The 15,365-nt window shown below is 38.5% G+C and overlaps 1 pseudogene across 1 annotated transcript in view, besides 1 other annotated feature; it reads right to left on the bottom strand.

Annotated features, from left to right (window-relative positions):
* Nucleotides 1-15,365, bottom strand: part of ULK4P1 (ULK4 pseudogene 1) — a 28,439-nt pseudogene that overhangs the window by 3,590 nt on the left and 9,484 nt on the right. Inside the window, exon 4 of the transcript NR_026858.1 lies at nucleotides 382-460. The product of NR_026858.1 is annotated as a ULK4 pseudogene 1 (transcript). The remainder of the gene's footprint in view (nucleotides 1-381; nucleotides 461-15,365) is intronic.
* Nucleotides 1-15,365: part of a non allelic homologous recombination region, noted in NCBI's record as "15q13.2-13.3 gamma inversion distal recombination region, recombines with the 15q13.2-13.3 gamma inversion proximal recombination region", that runs on past both edges of the window. NCBI's record gives the evidence for it as "EXISTENCE:nucleotide sequencing assay evidence [ECO:0000219][PMID:25326701]".

Below are 15,365 nucleotides of genomic sequence, written 5' to 3' on the forward strand. Positions count from 1 at the left end.
AACACTAAAAGCCAGAAGAATTTGAATTTTGAATTATAAGCTATGATTTAATTAGGAAATACATTAGCTGTAACAAAATGTTGGACAGACTACAAGAAAACGGGAAATGAACAAGTCTTATTCAAAAACAAATGAAATAATGATGAGTAGGGTTCACGAGCCTTGTTAACTCTGCTGTGCCATTTTAATGATGGACTACATTGTAAATGAGCTGCTATGTTTAAGCCTAAAGGTCTGTTGAGGTGATAAGTTTTTGAACAATTTCCACAATCCCACAAAGAAAAGTCAAGTGAAGGTCAAGGAAAGCCGCATGTTCTAAATTACAGAATCAACAACAGTATTTCTTGTCATTCATCACATTTCAGTCATAAAAGACATTACCTCAACAACAGGTGTATTTTCCTGGAGATCAGTTTTGTGCGAAGCCAGTAAACCAATCACCCGAGCAACCTTGGCCCATCTGTAAACGGAGAGAAAACAGGCTCTGAAGAGAAGAGTCAGGGACTGAGGAAACTAACCCCAGCTAGTTACATTATGCAATGATGAGCATTAGATATAAGACTGTGAAATAAAAATTGAATGTGACAGGTCAGGCCCACACTCCCCCATGTACACAGCCCAGAGAAACTCTCCCTCGTATACACAGGGAGACATGAACTGTAATGTCTGCTGTAATTCTGCAACAGCAACAAAATTTAAACAAGTTATGGTGTAATAGTAAAAGGAAAAACAAAATTTGTTAAAAGCCTTAACCAGAGAAAAGAGCAACACGTAATTAATCATTTTATTGCTGAGTACAGAGGCATTTGGCTAAAGGTCTCTTTTCTACTTGTTAGTAGATCAGTGAGTTTCTACGTAAGTGCTAAATATCTGAACAATAACATATCTGTATGTATTCATTTTAAAAGAAATTTTTACAATCAAAAGTTTCTAAAATATTGTACTATTTCCATAATCACTAGTCTTAATGAGGTGTGCCTTTAGTATCCAGCAGAAAACTGAATTTGATAAATCACAATTAATAAATCACATTCAGTGTGATTTGAAAAGGTATTTCATGCAGAAAAATTAGTTTTGATGAGAATTTTTTCTAATTGAAACAAATGGTGAGTTGATGAGAACTGCACTCATTGAGTGATGTCTGCATGTTGTCTGGAATAATCAATATGTACCTTAGTCAGCTTTTATTTTTTACCTTCTTAAAATAAACCTATGTGGCACCCATGGAGGAAAACAAATCAGACTCAGAGAAGTACTTCAGGGAAAATGTCTGCGTTATCACAACTCTAACATACAGAAATAATTCTTAGAAATTTCAACACTTATTAAATTGCCCATTAAAATTTCTTAACATATACAAATTAAAGAAGACCTAGGCAATTGTAGAACTAGCATCCTACCTCTGAATAAAAAGATTATAGTTTAAAAGTAATCATTTTGAAAAATATCTGTAGGATAATTGGAAAAGCCATCCTCCCACCACAACCCCCCAAGTAGCTGGGACTACAGGCGTGCACCACCACGCTCAGCTAATTTTTTTACTTTTTGTAGAGATGGGGTCTCGCTATGATGCCCAGGCTGGCCTTGAGCTCCTGACAAACAATCCTCCCATCTCAGCCTCCCAAACTGCTGCGATTACAGGTCTGAGCCACTGCACCTGCCTGTCTATCTCTTTTCAAAGACAAGCTCAAAATACTTTTGAAACACTGAACCATTTTTCAATCTATAAAAGTAAATAATGGCTACCAGATTTAATCAATGGAAATAAAAATGTATCAACAAGCCAATTATTTTCCCTAATATGACCAAAACAATTCCTATTAGAACAAAAGAAAACACACTACCTAAAAACCCTATACTTTTAAAATAGAAACTTTAAATAGCTTATGAATAGTCACTTTTTACCAAAATCCTAAATACAAGTACCACATGCCCCATAGACAACACCCTCACAGTACAGGTTCCTTCTCAAAATTCAGGTTTTCTCAGGTCACCACTCCAGGTGCCCCCAGTGACTTGACACTGTACCTCAGAACCAACCCATCTCCATGACAGCATCTAAGGCACCACTGTCTACCAAACCTTCGTGCACTGACAAATGTCCCACATCTGCACTGTTCAATCCAGTATCCACTAGACACATGACTATCAAGCACATAATATATGACACATGCAAGTGAGGAACAACAAATTTTATTCAAATTAATTTTTTTTTTTTTTTTTTGGGAGACAGGGTCATCCAAGCTAGAGAGCAGTGGCGCAGTCTCCGCTCACTGCAATGCCTCCCGGGCTCAAGTAATCCTCCCAATTCAGCCTCCCAAGTAGCCGGGACTGTAGGTGTGTGTCACCACACCTGGCTAATTTTTGTATTTTTAGTAAAAACAGGGTTTCACCATGTTGTCCAGGCTGGTCTTGAACTCCTGAGCTCAACTGATCTGCCCACCTCAGCCTCCCAAAGTGCTGGGATTATAGGCGTGAGCCACTGTATTTGGCCTTAATTTTTATTTTAAAAATTACCCCCACAGTTGAGGGTGAGGGAGACAGTGCCCTGGGGTAATTACTCATCTTTCATGTGCCTAGTCCTGGTTACCTCGTAAGTAGGACCGATAACAATACATACCGCATGTTGTTAAAAGAATCAAAGGAGATAATCCATGTGCAGAAAGTACCATTGTGTCCGACAATACATGCTGAATGAGTAAGCTACTATTAATTTAACTAATTTAAATAACCCCCATGAAGTGAATGGCTACCACATTAGAGCAGAACTAAAATTTTGCAGTTACTTATTCATTCATTGACTGGTTTATTGTCTGTCTCCTCGACCAGCCCAGAAGATCCATGAAGGCAGGACTGTATCCCGATCGCCACTGTGACACCTAGACAGTGCTTGGAGCGCACTCGGGCATCTAAAAATGTTGGTTGAACAAATATATCAACATCAAAAGCAAAATAAACACATTAGTAGGAAAGGAGTGCATAAAAGTATGGCTGTCCAAGGCAAACAAAATGCAAACAGGATTGCCAATGTAAATCTCAGCAGAATTCAAGGCTAAACTCTTCAGAAGAAGATTCCCTTTAAACGAAACACCATATGACCTACAAAAGATCTAAGGTGTGAATCTTTATACACCAAATAACAAAGCACGCAAAGTAAACCCATGGTAGTGGTAAACTTCAATTTTCTTCTCTTCCAAGCACAGAGAGAAGGCAATAACGAATATATTAATCAATACATTCACACATTCAAGCATCCTAAATAAAACTAATGAAGTCAAAGTAACAGACGTATCTATCAAACTCTACACCCTACAAACAGTGACCACCCTTACTCAGTGGGAGGCTGCATAGGATGGTGTCTAACACTCTAGAATTCAAAGTCTTGGACCTAGCTCTGGCCCACCATTGGAGGTGAGGGAGACAGTACCCTGGGATAATTACTCATCTTTCATGAGCCTGGTTTCATGTTGTTCTAAGAATCAGGAGATAATCCACATGCAGAAATTACCAATGTGTCCTGACAATTTGTGCTGACTGAGCAAACTACTAGTACTACATTATTATCAATAGTTGACTACATTCATGGCATACATTAAAAATGATTTTATATTGGACCACAAAGATAAATTATTAGAATTCCCTAGGGCAGAAATTATAAAGGACTCATTTTGATGTAGCAAAAGGAAAAAAGTAAAAATAACAAATACAAACCAAAAAACCTAAACACGTGTGGAGTTAAAAGCACTTCTCCTGGGCATGGTGGCTCACGCCTGTAATCCCAGCACTTTGGGAGGCCAGGGCAGGCTGATTACTTGAGGTCAGAAGTTCAAAACCAGCCTGGCCAACATGGTGAAATGCCATCTCTACTAAAAAATACAAAAATTAGTCAGGCGTGGTGGTGGGCGCCTGTAATCCCAGCTACTTGGGAGGCTGAGGCAGGAGAATCGCTTGAACCCAGGAGGCGGAGGTTTCAGTGAGCCGAGATCGTGCCACTGCACTCCAGCCTGGGCAACAGAGCGAGACTCCGTCTCAAAAATAAATAAATAAATAAAATAAAGCACTTCTAAACCTTATACATCATATTAAAAAATAAAAACTTTGGCCGGGTACAGTGGTTCACACCTGTAATCCCCAGCACTTTAGGAGGACAAGATGGAAGGATCACTAAGGCCAGGAGTTCAAGACCAGCCTGGCCAACAAAGTGAGACCCTGTCTCTAAAAAAAAAAAAAAAAAAAAAAAATTTAATTTAGCCAGGCATGGTGGCATGTACCTGTAGTCCCATTCCAGTCTGGGGAACACAGTGAGACCCTATTTTTTTTAGAGTGAGTCTCTAAAAATAATAATAATAAAAAATACATAAAAGAAACAAAAGGAAAAATAAAAGGGAAAGGGAAAGAAATAAAGCATCCGTAAATCACAATCGTGTAAGTAACACAGATGCAAACTTATGAGATATTCTGTCTTTAATGATTGCACACTGAACACTTGACACTCACTTTTCTGAACCCTCTAGAGTCTCTAAAATACAAGCTCTTCTTATTAAATGATAATTGGAAACAAAAAGGAGGGCTAAAAGTGGACTAGAAAGTTTGAGAAAATCTCAGATGACATGCACAAATAGAATTAAGACTGACAGAGAATCAACAAAGGAATCCCCTGTCTAAGAACCACAGGTAGACAGACGTTCCCAAGGAAGCCTCAGGGACTTGGAATAAACAAAGACAAAAAGAAAGAATGAGCCACAGGACAATAATCAGATTAAACAACTGCACAAGGAAAAATTGTGTCCTTGTACAAGGAACAGCAGAGCCAATCAGGTCCTGTCTCTTTTCCGTCTCCCTTCCCTGGTACACAGAATAAACCCTGCAGCCCTGGCCTCCTGGGTAAATGTGGAAAATCATTCCTACAGTGAGCAATCCACCTTGCTCACTGGATGGATGGATGTGGGAAGCAGCAACTGTGGTCCTCCAGATACCGAAGCGGGGAAGGGAATAAATGAGGAAAGCCAGTTCCACTGCAAAGAAAAACCCACCCTGGCAATTGCAGAGGCCTCCAGCCTGCCTACTGATCTTCAGCCAGCTGGAATCCCAAATTAAAGTCAACCAGTCAACAGGCCTCACCTACCCACATACCAGCCCTTTCTTTAAAGGAGAAGCTATTGGAGAAAGAGACTTAGGCAAGAATAAAGGAAACTCATATTGCCAACTTCTATACCAATCAATTTAATCATTTATTCATAATATAAATGAAGAACCAGAGATCACCAGGCATTTGAGAAATAAACAGCATTAAAAAGCAGGACCCTGTAATCCCAGCACTTTGGGAGGCCGAGGCGGGCGGATCACGAGGTCAGGAGATCGAGACCATCCCGGCTAAAATGGTGAAACCCCGTCTCTACTAAAAATACAAAAAATTAGCCGGGCGTAGTGGCGGGCGCCTGTAGTCCCAGCTACTTGGGAGGCTGAGGCGGGAGAATGGCGTGAACCCGGGAGGCGGAGCTTGCAGTGAGCCGAGATCCCGCCACTGCACTCCAGCCTGGGCGACAGAGCGAGACTCCGTCTCAAAAAAAAAAAAAAAAAAAAAGCAGGACCATGATGAAAAAGAAGTGACCTGCAAGTTCAAGAGATAAGAATACAATGTTCATAATCCTAATTTTGTTCCCTTTTTTTCAAAGTCCAGGTTCCAGGCTTATATTATATAATCCTAATGTTTAGCCTTAAATATTAATAACAATATTTAATTCTAAATTCTGCTCCAAGACGAGGATTTTTATAATCCTAATATTTATCCTCAAATTCAAAAGTATATTATACACCAAATATAGGCAGCTAGGAAAAAGGACCAATCAGAGAAAAAGAAAATGAACAAAAACTTTCAAATATGATTGTTGAAATTAAAAAATTAACTGGAAATCCTAAATAATAAAATGAGTGGGGATAAATATCAAGTTTGAGAGCTCAAAGATAAAGTCAAGGAAGAGCAATAAAAGAAGAAAGTTTGCATGGACACAAAGAGGGAACAATCGACACGGGGGCCTATTTAGGGTGGAGGGTGGGAGGAGGGAGAGGATCAGAAAAAATAACAATTGGTCCTTACCAAGCTTAGTGCCTGGGTGACCAAATAATTCATACAACAAACCCCCATAACATGAGTTCACCTATATAACAAACCTGCATGTGTACCCCTGAACCTAAAATAAAAGTTTAACAAAGAGACTTTGGCAGTTCTTCAAAAGGTTCAACACAGAGTTACCATTTTATCCAGCAATCTCACCACTGTAGGAGAAATAAAAACGTATATGTTCACACAAAACCCTGTGGACAAATGTTCAGAGCACCATTATTCATAATAGCCAAATGTGGAAACAACCCCAAATGTCCATCAAGACCACATAAGCAAAATGTGGAATAGCCATACAAAGATTATTCAGCTAGAAAAAGAATGAAGTACTCACACATTCCACCATACGGAGGAACCTTGAAAACATTATGCTAAATGACAGAAGCTAGACACAAAAGGCCACACACTGTATGATTCCATTTATATGAAATATCAAGAATAGCAAATCAGCTGACAAGAAGTAGATTAGTTGTTGCCAGGGGTTGGAGAAGAATGGGTACTGGGTTTCACTGGGTGAGAAAACTGTTCTGAAATTAGATAGTGGCGATGGTTGAACAGTTTTCAATATACTGACACCTACTGAACTGTACACATTAAAATGGTGAATTTTATGGTATGTGAATTATATCTCAATAAACAAGAGCAAGTGAGAAAGCAAAAGAAAATTTGAAAGAAGAGTCAAGAGACACAAACTCCCACACCCATCCTGTAGGGGTTTCAGGAACAGAAAAAGGGTGAAATAGAGAGGAAGAAATCTAGGAAGTAATATAATAGCTAAAGGAGGGGTGAGGAGGCTGGGCATTGTGGCTCACACCTGTAATCCCAGCACTTTGGGAAGCCAAGGCGGGAGGATCACATGAGGTCAGGAGTTCGAGACCAGCCTGGCTAACATGGTGAAAACCCATCTCTAAACTAAAAATACAAAAATAAGCTGGGCATGGTGGCGTACACCTGTAATCCCAGCTACTTATGAGGCTAAGGCAGGAGAACTGCTTGAACCCGGGAGGCGGAGGTTGCAGTGAGCCAAGATTGCGCCACTGCACTCCAGCCTGGGCAACAGAGCAAGACTCTATCTCAAAATAAATGGAAAGAAAAGAAGGGAAGGAAGGGACGGGAGGGGGGAAGGAAGGGACGGGAGGGAGGGAGAGAGAGAGGAAGGGAAGAAGGAAGGAAGGAAGGAATTAAGGAAGGAAGGAAGGAAAGAAGGAAGGAAGGAAGCAGGCAGGCAGGCAGAAGCAAATTAGTAAAAAGAGATGGCAGGCAGGCAGGCTGAAGCAAATTAGTAAAATGAAATTCCTAGAGACAATCTAGTAAAATTTACAGGCCTGGAATAAAAAGAAAAGCTAACTCAAACAAGACCTACAAAATAGGGAGGAAAAAAGAAGGTAAGGTTGACTCCCAAGTCCTACAGAGCTACAGTTAGTAAAGAGAAGACAGCTCAAACTCCAAAGCATGGCACAGAGGTAAGCCACTGAGAGGCCTTCTTGAAAACAAAACAAAACAAAAAATCTACCAGCTGGGTGCGGTGGCTCACACCTATAATCCCAGCACTTTGGGGGGCCAAAGCGGGTGGATCACCTGAGGTCAGGAGTTCAAGACCATCTGGCCAACACGGTGAAACCTCGTCTCTACAAAAATACAAAAATTGCTGGGCATGATGGCAGGTGCCTGTAATCCCAGCTACTTGGGAGGCTGAGATGGAATGATCGCTTGAACCTGGGAGGCAGAGGTTGCAGTGAGCCGAGATCACGCCACTGCACTCCAGCGTGGGTGACAGAGCGAGACTCAATCTCAAAAAAAAAAAAAAAAATTGGCAAATGACTTGACTAGACCTTTCTCCAAGGAAGATATACAAATAGCCAACAATCACAAAAAAAGATGTTCAACATCACTAGTCACAAAATACAAATCAAACCCATGAGATACTAACTTCACACCCATCAGGTGTGAAAACACTAATGTTCATAGCAGCATTGTTCACAATAGCCAAAAGATATAAACAAGCCAGTGCCCAACAACAAATGAAAAGATAAACTGTGGTATATTACATACAAAGGGATATTATTCAGCCTTAAAAAGGAATGAAATGCTGACACATGTTAGTTACAACATGGATAAACCTTGCAAATGAAACCAGCCCAATTGTCCTATAGAACTGATGTTTACAGTCTTTTAAAATAAAGATAGAAATTGACCCTCCCAGTCTTAAAACTTGAGAAAGTTACATTTGTCTTATCTGAGTTCCTTTCTTGGGAAACCAACCATCAGGCCTCCCAGATAGTTATCAAGGAACTGAAACTTACCAGATCACCACATCTGGACCATAAGACACCAGACCACCTCACCCATCACAATTGCCTAACCAACTACCTGCTTCCTGTCGACCAACTCCTCTCCCTCACCCTTCCCTAACTCCTGTTTTCCCATACGTGGTTACATTTCTTCCCTGCTAAATAAACCCGTGGTTTTAGTCAGTCGAGGAGACAAATTTGAGATTGATCTCCCATCTCCTTAGCTGCAGCACCCAATTGAAGCCTTCTTCCCTAGCAACACTCATCGTCTCCGTGATTGGCTTTCTGCGCTGTGAGCAACAGGACCTAGACCAAACCCCTCGATGTTTCAGTAGCAATATGAGGTACTCACCATAAGAAAATTTACCAAGATAGAATAAGTAGAGTATAGGTTACCAGGACTGGGGAAGGGAAAGGAAAGGGGAAGTTATGTTTAACGGGTAAAGAGCTTCTGTTCAAGATGACGAAAAAGTTCTGGAAATGAATAGTGGTGATGGTTACACAACAATGGGAATGAACTAAATGTCACTGTACACATAAAAATAGCTAAAATGGAACATTTTAAATTATGTGTAATTTACAAGTAACACATTTTAAAGTTACAGTATTACACTATTACTATATATGAATTATACCTCATAAAGTTGATTGGCAAGGATAAAAGGATATACAATTTGATAAATACTCAACGTTGGAAGTTCTAACAAAAGACATTTTAAACACATTGACTGGGATTATCTATTGATACAATGTTTTTTTAAGAGTATTTCAGCAATTTTTCAGAAGTCACAAAGATATTTACTGCCTTCTACCCATTTGTTCTAGTTCTATGAATCTTTCCTAAAGGGAAAAAGAAAAAGCGGGCACGAAGATTTAATCTCAAAAATGTTCATCAAAATGTTGTTTACAACATTATAATACTATCCAAAAATAGTAAACAAAATGATCAGATATTCACAACATATAAAACGTTTACCTTAAGTATTATGTATTTTATTTTAAAATGTTGATAACATTTAAAATACATAATATATATGTTATGGGGGAAAACAAACATAAAAAACTATATCATGTGATTCTAATTTTTTATAAGCAAAACAAAACTAAGTATCTACTTCAATAATAATTATCTCCCAGACTAAGTTAAGGACCCTTTATCATATGCTATCAAGGTAATATAACCTGAGGTCAGAGAAAACCTCGCTGGAAGTGGCTTTGGATGGAGAAAGAGAATAAAAGAAGATTCCTACCAGAGAACTTGTCTACCTCAGTATCATTTTATTCAAATTAAAACTGTTTTACAATCAAACCTCAATTTTTAACAGTGGGGGAAAAAACAGTATGTGTTAATTTTAGTATCCAAGGGGATACTAGAACCATTCTCCTGGCTGATACAGAGGGATGACTGTTCTCGGAAATGATTTGGAATGTCTGTCTGAAAATGTCAGCAGGGAGCACCCCATTCAGGTATATAACACGTTTTAAATAAAAGTGTTTAAATACATATTTCATTGATTCATTTTTAATGAGCATACCATAAGCCTTCTCAAAGTATTAAATGCTCAACCATTACCTAAAAATCCTACTTTCTATTACCAGATTTTACTTTGCGAGAGTAACATTAGAAGACGTATAATAAGAATTACCCTTATTATTAAACATTTTCTAAACTCCTATTGTTTCACCCATATTTCACCAGCATAGAAGAATAATTATTATACCACTGCCACAATTCACAAAATCCTTTCACCTCCGTTTTTTCATGTGCCTGTCCTAACAATCATGAGATAAGCAAGCTTCGTGATAATAACTACAACTTCTACAACCCCAACCCCACTGTCAATGAAATACCCACTAAGAATCAGGCACTATACGGCCAGGCACGGTGGCTCATGCCTGTAATCCCAGCACTTTGGGAGGCTGAGGTGGGCAGATCACGAGGTCAGGAGATCGAGACCACGGTGAAAAAAATTAGCCGGGCGGGCGCGGTGGCGGGCGCCTGTAGTCCCAGCTACTAAGGAGGCTGAGGCAGGAGAACGGCGTGAACCCGGGAGGCGGAGCTTGCAGTGAGCTGAGATCGCACCACTGCACTCCAGCCTGGGTGACAGAGGGAGATGCCGACTCAGAAAAAAAAAAAAAGAAAGAAAGAAACAGGCACTATACCAGGTATCTCACATATTTACCACATTCAAAGTTGAATAATTACCAAAAATCTATGAAGTAGTTATCCCATCCCAATTTTACAGATGAGGAAACTGCGGCTCAGCAATTAAAGTAATTGGCCCAGAAAGCAGATCTTTGATCCACACCCAGGTCTGTCTGAATCCTAAACCTATGCCATTTCCTTGTCCCACCCACACTCCCCAGGAAACAGAGATTGAGAAAAAGATAATCATTTGGCCAAGTCTTATAGGCAACAGGAACCCAGAGCCTTCTAACACTTGATCTACGGTGCTTTCCACCTGGTATGTTGCTTCTATAAAAAGTAAGGACACTTCCTTCCATCGGGAGTTTATAAATCATAATTAATCTCAGATTATAAATAACATCATAGGGAAGCTATGTGCTACATAGGGACAGATAAGGGTGCCCAAGGGAAACTTTGAGGAAGTATAACTAAATTAATACACAGGGATCAGGGTTGAAGTATTTTATAACCAATACTCAAAACAGTAACAGTTAGCCTGGCGCAGTGGCTCACGTCTGTAGTCCTAACACTTTGGGAGTCAGAGATGGGAGAATCACTTGAGCCCAGGAGTTGGAAACCAGCCTGGGCAACATAGTGAGAGACCTTGTCTCTACGAAAATAAAAAAACAACAACAGTTAATAAAGTTTCCAGGAGTAGCTTAGATAATCCCAGAATCGTATCTATATTAGGAGAAGGGCTATTTTTAAATATTCTAAAGTTTATAATTGGAATGCCCATAAAAATTGCCTATGAGTAGATTCATCATTACATCAGAAAAATTTATGATAATTACTTAGGACTCTGCTTTTGATAAATATGTATGCTGTAACTACTTAATAAAACCATGAGAAATAATTTTTAAAATGTAAATGTTACTTACATATCGCAGTTTGCAGCTATCCACAAATGCTGGATTAGCAATTGGAACTAGAATAAAAAATGTAAATGTAAAAAAAGAAAAAATTAAAATATTTAAGTCATGAAACACAGAAAGTGACAGCAAAGTTAAAAACTCAGATCTTTATAAAAAGGAAATTTATACTGTACACCAAAAATGATATTTGCTAAATTACAAAGGCACTTGTATATGAATAAGATTAAAATAAAAACTAAGAACAGTACTTTTAGTTTCTCCTACCACTTTATATTCTCTAAATGACAGCCCTTACCTGATAGACACACGCCAACTATCAAAAAAAGCAATCTTAATACCATCCTGGAAGCAAGTGAACTTACATTTTTTTCAAGCCAATTCCCAAATGAGGGCCCACTACAGAAAACACCTCCGAACCACTGTAATTCCTTTCTGAGGATGACTCCAAACACTCTGCCAATCGATGCTAAACATGAGCCAAAAGAAACAAAAAAACTCTGACAAATTCCCATGAGCTTACCAATGGACCAAGATTGTCCAAAAAGTAATATTCCCAGAGGATAGGAAAAAAATGTCTTAGAGGGTTGATGTCTGCCTTCAATGTCACAGCAGAAACCTTGCAGTTTACCAGATGACCCAGTAAAGGAACCAACACCCACAACCCATTCCACATGGGCAGTTAATTCCAGTCACTGATGAGAAGGGAAAAGGTCTGTCTTATGATATCACATTTTTTTTTTGTTTTTTGTTTTTATTTTTTGAGATGGAGTTTCGCTCTTTTTGCCCAGGCTGGGGTGCAATGGCATGATCACGGCTCACTGCGACTTCTGGCTCCTGGGTTCAAGTGATTCTCCTGTCTCAGCCTCCCAAGTAGCTAGGATTACAGGAGTGCACCACCACGCCCTGCTAATTTTGTATTTTTAGTAGAGATGGGGTTTCGCCATGTTGGCCAGGCTGGTTTCAAACTGCTGACCTCAGGTGATCCACCTGCCTCGGCCTCCCAAAGTACTGAGATTACAGGCGTTCATTCCAGTCACTGATGAGAAGGTAAAAGGTCTGTCTTATGATATCACGCCCGGCCTGATTTCACATATTTTTTAAAAATCTTACAAGTTAACATAAAATGGAAACCTGAGTATTACAAACAACAACAACAACAAAAAGTTCAAAATCACCGTCTACTCTTATCTACTTTAAGACGTAAGGATTAAGCAGAGGATAATTTGCATAAACCTAAAATCGTGATAAATCAGTTTTTTCATGGTAGTTAAATCAAATTGCTATTTTAGCACTTGTTTGAGCCTCTATAAAAAACATAAATTTAAATGCATAAGTCATGTCACAGAGGCCTACCAGCGGGGAAAGGAGGAGCCTGGTGGCCACCTCCTGGTGACCAGCCACCACTCACAAACAGCAAAGGAGATTAAGCTTGGCTCAGGAGGTCCCCGAGCTCTTCTCACTGGAGTCGATCTGCGAGCACACTTGTTACAAAAAGTCATTCCAATCTTGGTCTTTCAGAAATTATAACTTATCCATTGCCAAGGAAAGAAAATAACAAAAGTATGATGATGAGAAAAACAACTGCTGGAAACATTACATGAGAAATAAACACAGAGTTACGACAGCTAAGATGAGGACAAAGAAAACATTACTCTGTCAACACCAAAAATACTCCAAAGATGACACTACTTCTATTTGTCCTTTTATATTCCTCATCTCTTTATCTATCCATGGAAACTTTTTAAACACTTCAATGGAAAACTATGCTTTCAAACCAAGCAGATGTCTAAAGCAGAATTGTCTCACAACCTAGATTATAACAAAATGCAAAGTTCAATACAACTGGAGTAAAAGACAAAAAAGCCTTTGTATAAATAAATCAACTCTCAGATATTGAGAAAAGCACAAACCACACAGTTATTAAAAAGTTCCAATGAAATTACTGTAAAAAAATAACGAGGATAACATGATAGCTAAAATCACCTGAAATTCCTACCTCCAAATCCCTATAAAAAAAGGGCAAAATCTAGGAAATGTGATACTCCCTAAAATTTTTTGCTAACATGTTTTTGCTGATCTCAATCTTTAGACAAAGAAATTGTAAATATAATTTCCTAAGTAACTCAAAGAAGAAAAAGGAAATAGTATTTCCCAATAATAATTCTCTAGGTTTGCATAAATAGACCTACTTGGCACTGAAAGCACTATTAATATTTTGCTTCACTTTGGTCTTTCAAAAACGTCCTTCTACACAGGTTTTTTTGGTTGTTTTTATCACTAATTAAGTTGACTGATATAAACCCTTAGCTGGTTTATTTAAACCTAAATATATTTTAAATTTACTTCAAATCATAGATTCTACTCTAGCCACAATGAATAATTTTCCCCAAATTGAGTTTAACAGCTTAAAATATAATTTGTTAAAAAAAAAAAGTTTAAGGTATGTAAAAATTTCTGACTTTCACCGTAAATAAGATTTTCATTAGCTCAACAGAAATGTAATAATTATCCCTTAAGTATCTCCACTCCCACACCATCTCCACAGTCATGAACCACCTAGTCCCGTTCTCAAATGTCCTGGTCCCGCCAATAGAATCCCAATCCTTCCTTGTTGTCCCCAACCCTGTGCACCTACACCTGCCATAAATGGTGGAAATTCAACCAGCTCTATGAACGGAAGGGAGGAGGCCCCCCACGCACTCTACAGGAAAACTTGCCCAGATCTACAGGAACCTCCCCACTCACAAGAGGACAGGGCAGCCCAGACTCAGCTGAGAAATGTCAACAGCTGGCACAAATGAATTACAGATTATTTACAATTCACATAACACTGACCCAAGAATATAACCAATTGTCAAGACAAAATAAATTTAGTTGTTCACATACAAATATTCCATTTGTGAATAAATTTCATATTCGTATCTGTATACAGACAGTCTACATGTTCGATAACTCCTTTATGATCCTACCTGAAAATGCTGGTAGATGCAATATTTTTGCATCAAATTTAACCGATGGTGGTTGTTTCATTATCTGTGGTTAAAAAAAAAAAAAAAACTTTTGAGGCAATTTTAAAGATGGATATCTGTCTCCTTATATGTCCCTTATATCAGATAATAAATCAATGAGGACAGAAAAAGAATGTGTAAAATTTGTTACCAAAAACAAAAAGAACGATGCCTTTTCAGATTAAAACATACATATATAGATAATAATTTATTTTTTAAAATCATTTCAATTGATATCTGTAATAAAATAAAGCTTCAAAGAAAAAATTCACCCCATCCTGGCTTACTTTTTAGGTAATTTACCTCTAATTAGAAATTCAGTCTTTCAACAAATATCTATTGCTTACCTGCCAAGGTAAGGCTCTATGTCAAGTGCTAAGGGGGATACAAAGATATAAAAGACACAATCCTATTTTCAGCGAGCTGACTTTCTGGTTGGGAAGATGAGACAAACATTTGATAAACAAGAAAATATTTCACAATTCAAAAGAGGCAGGACATAACTACAGACAAAACCCTGGACAGAAAGAATTTTTTTTGTAAATAGTAGTTTAGAGAATACAGCAAGCACTTTACTTGATATAGTTGACACCGGGTTTACGGAAGAGGTAGAAGGTGGGTTGAGGTCTTGAAGGATGGCTAGAACTTTATGATTATATCAGAGAAGACACCATTCAAGGAAGCCATAATAGCATGAATTGGAAAGTGCATAATTTATTTCAGAAATGTGAAGAAACCATGTAGTTGGATCCATGAGCTTAGGACAGCCAGATACTGCATCTTGAGACTTTTAATTAAAAATTCAACCATCATTTCTATACCTAACTTCTGCAAAACTTCTATATGTAATATTTTTAAAACCTTTACTAATTAAGTAACCAG

The sequence above is a fragment of the Homo sapiens genome, chromosome 15 (genome assembly GCF_000001405.40).
Source record: "Homo sapiens chromosome 15, GRCh38.p14 Primary Assembly".
Lineage (NCBI taxonomy): Eukaryota > Metazoa > Chordata > Mammalia > Primates > Hominidae > Homo > Homo sapiens.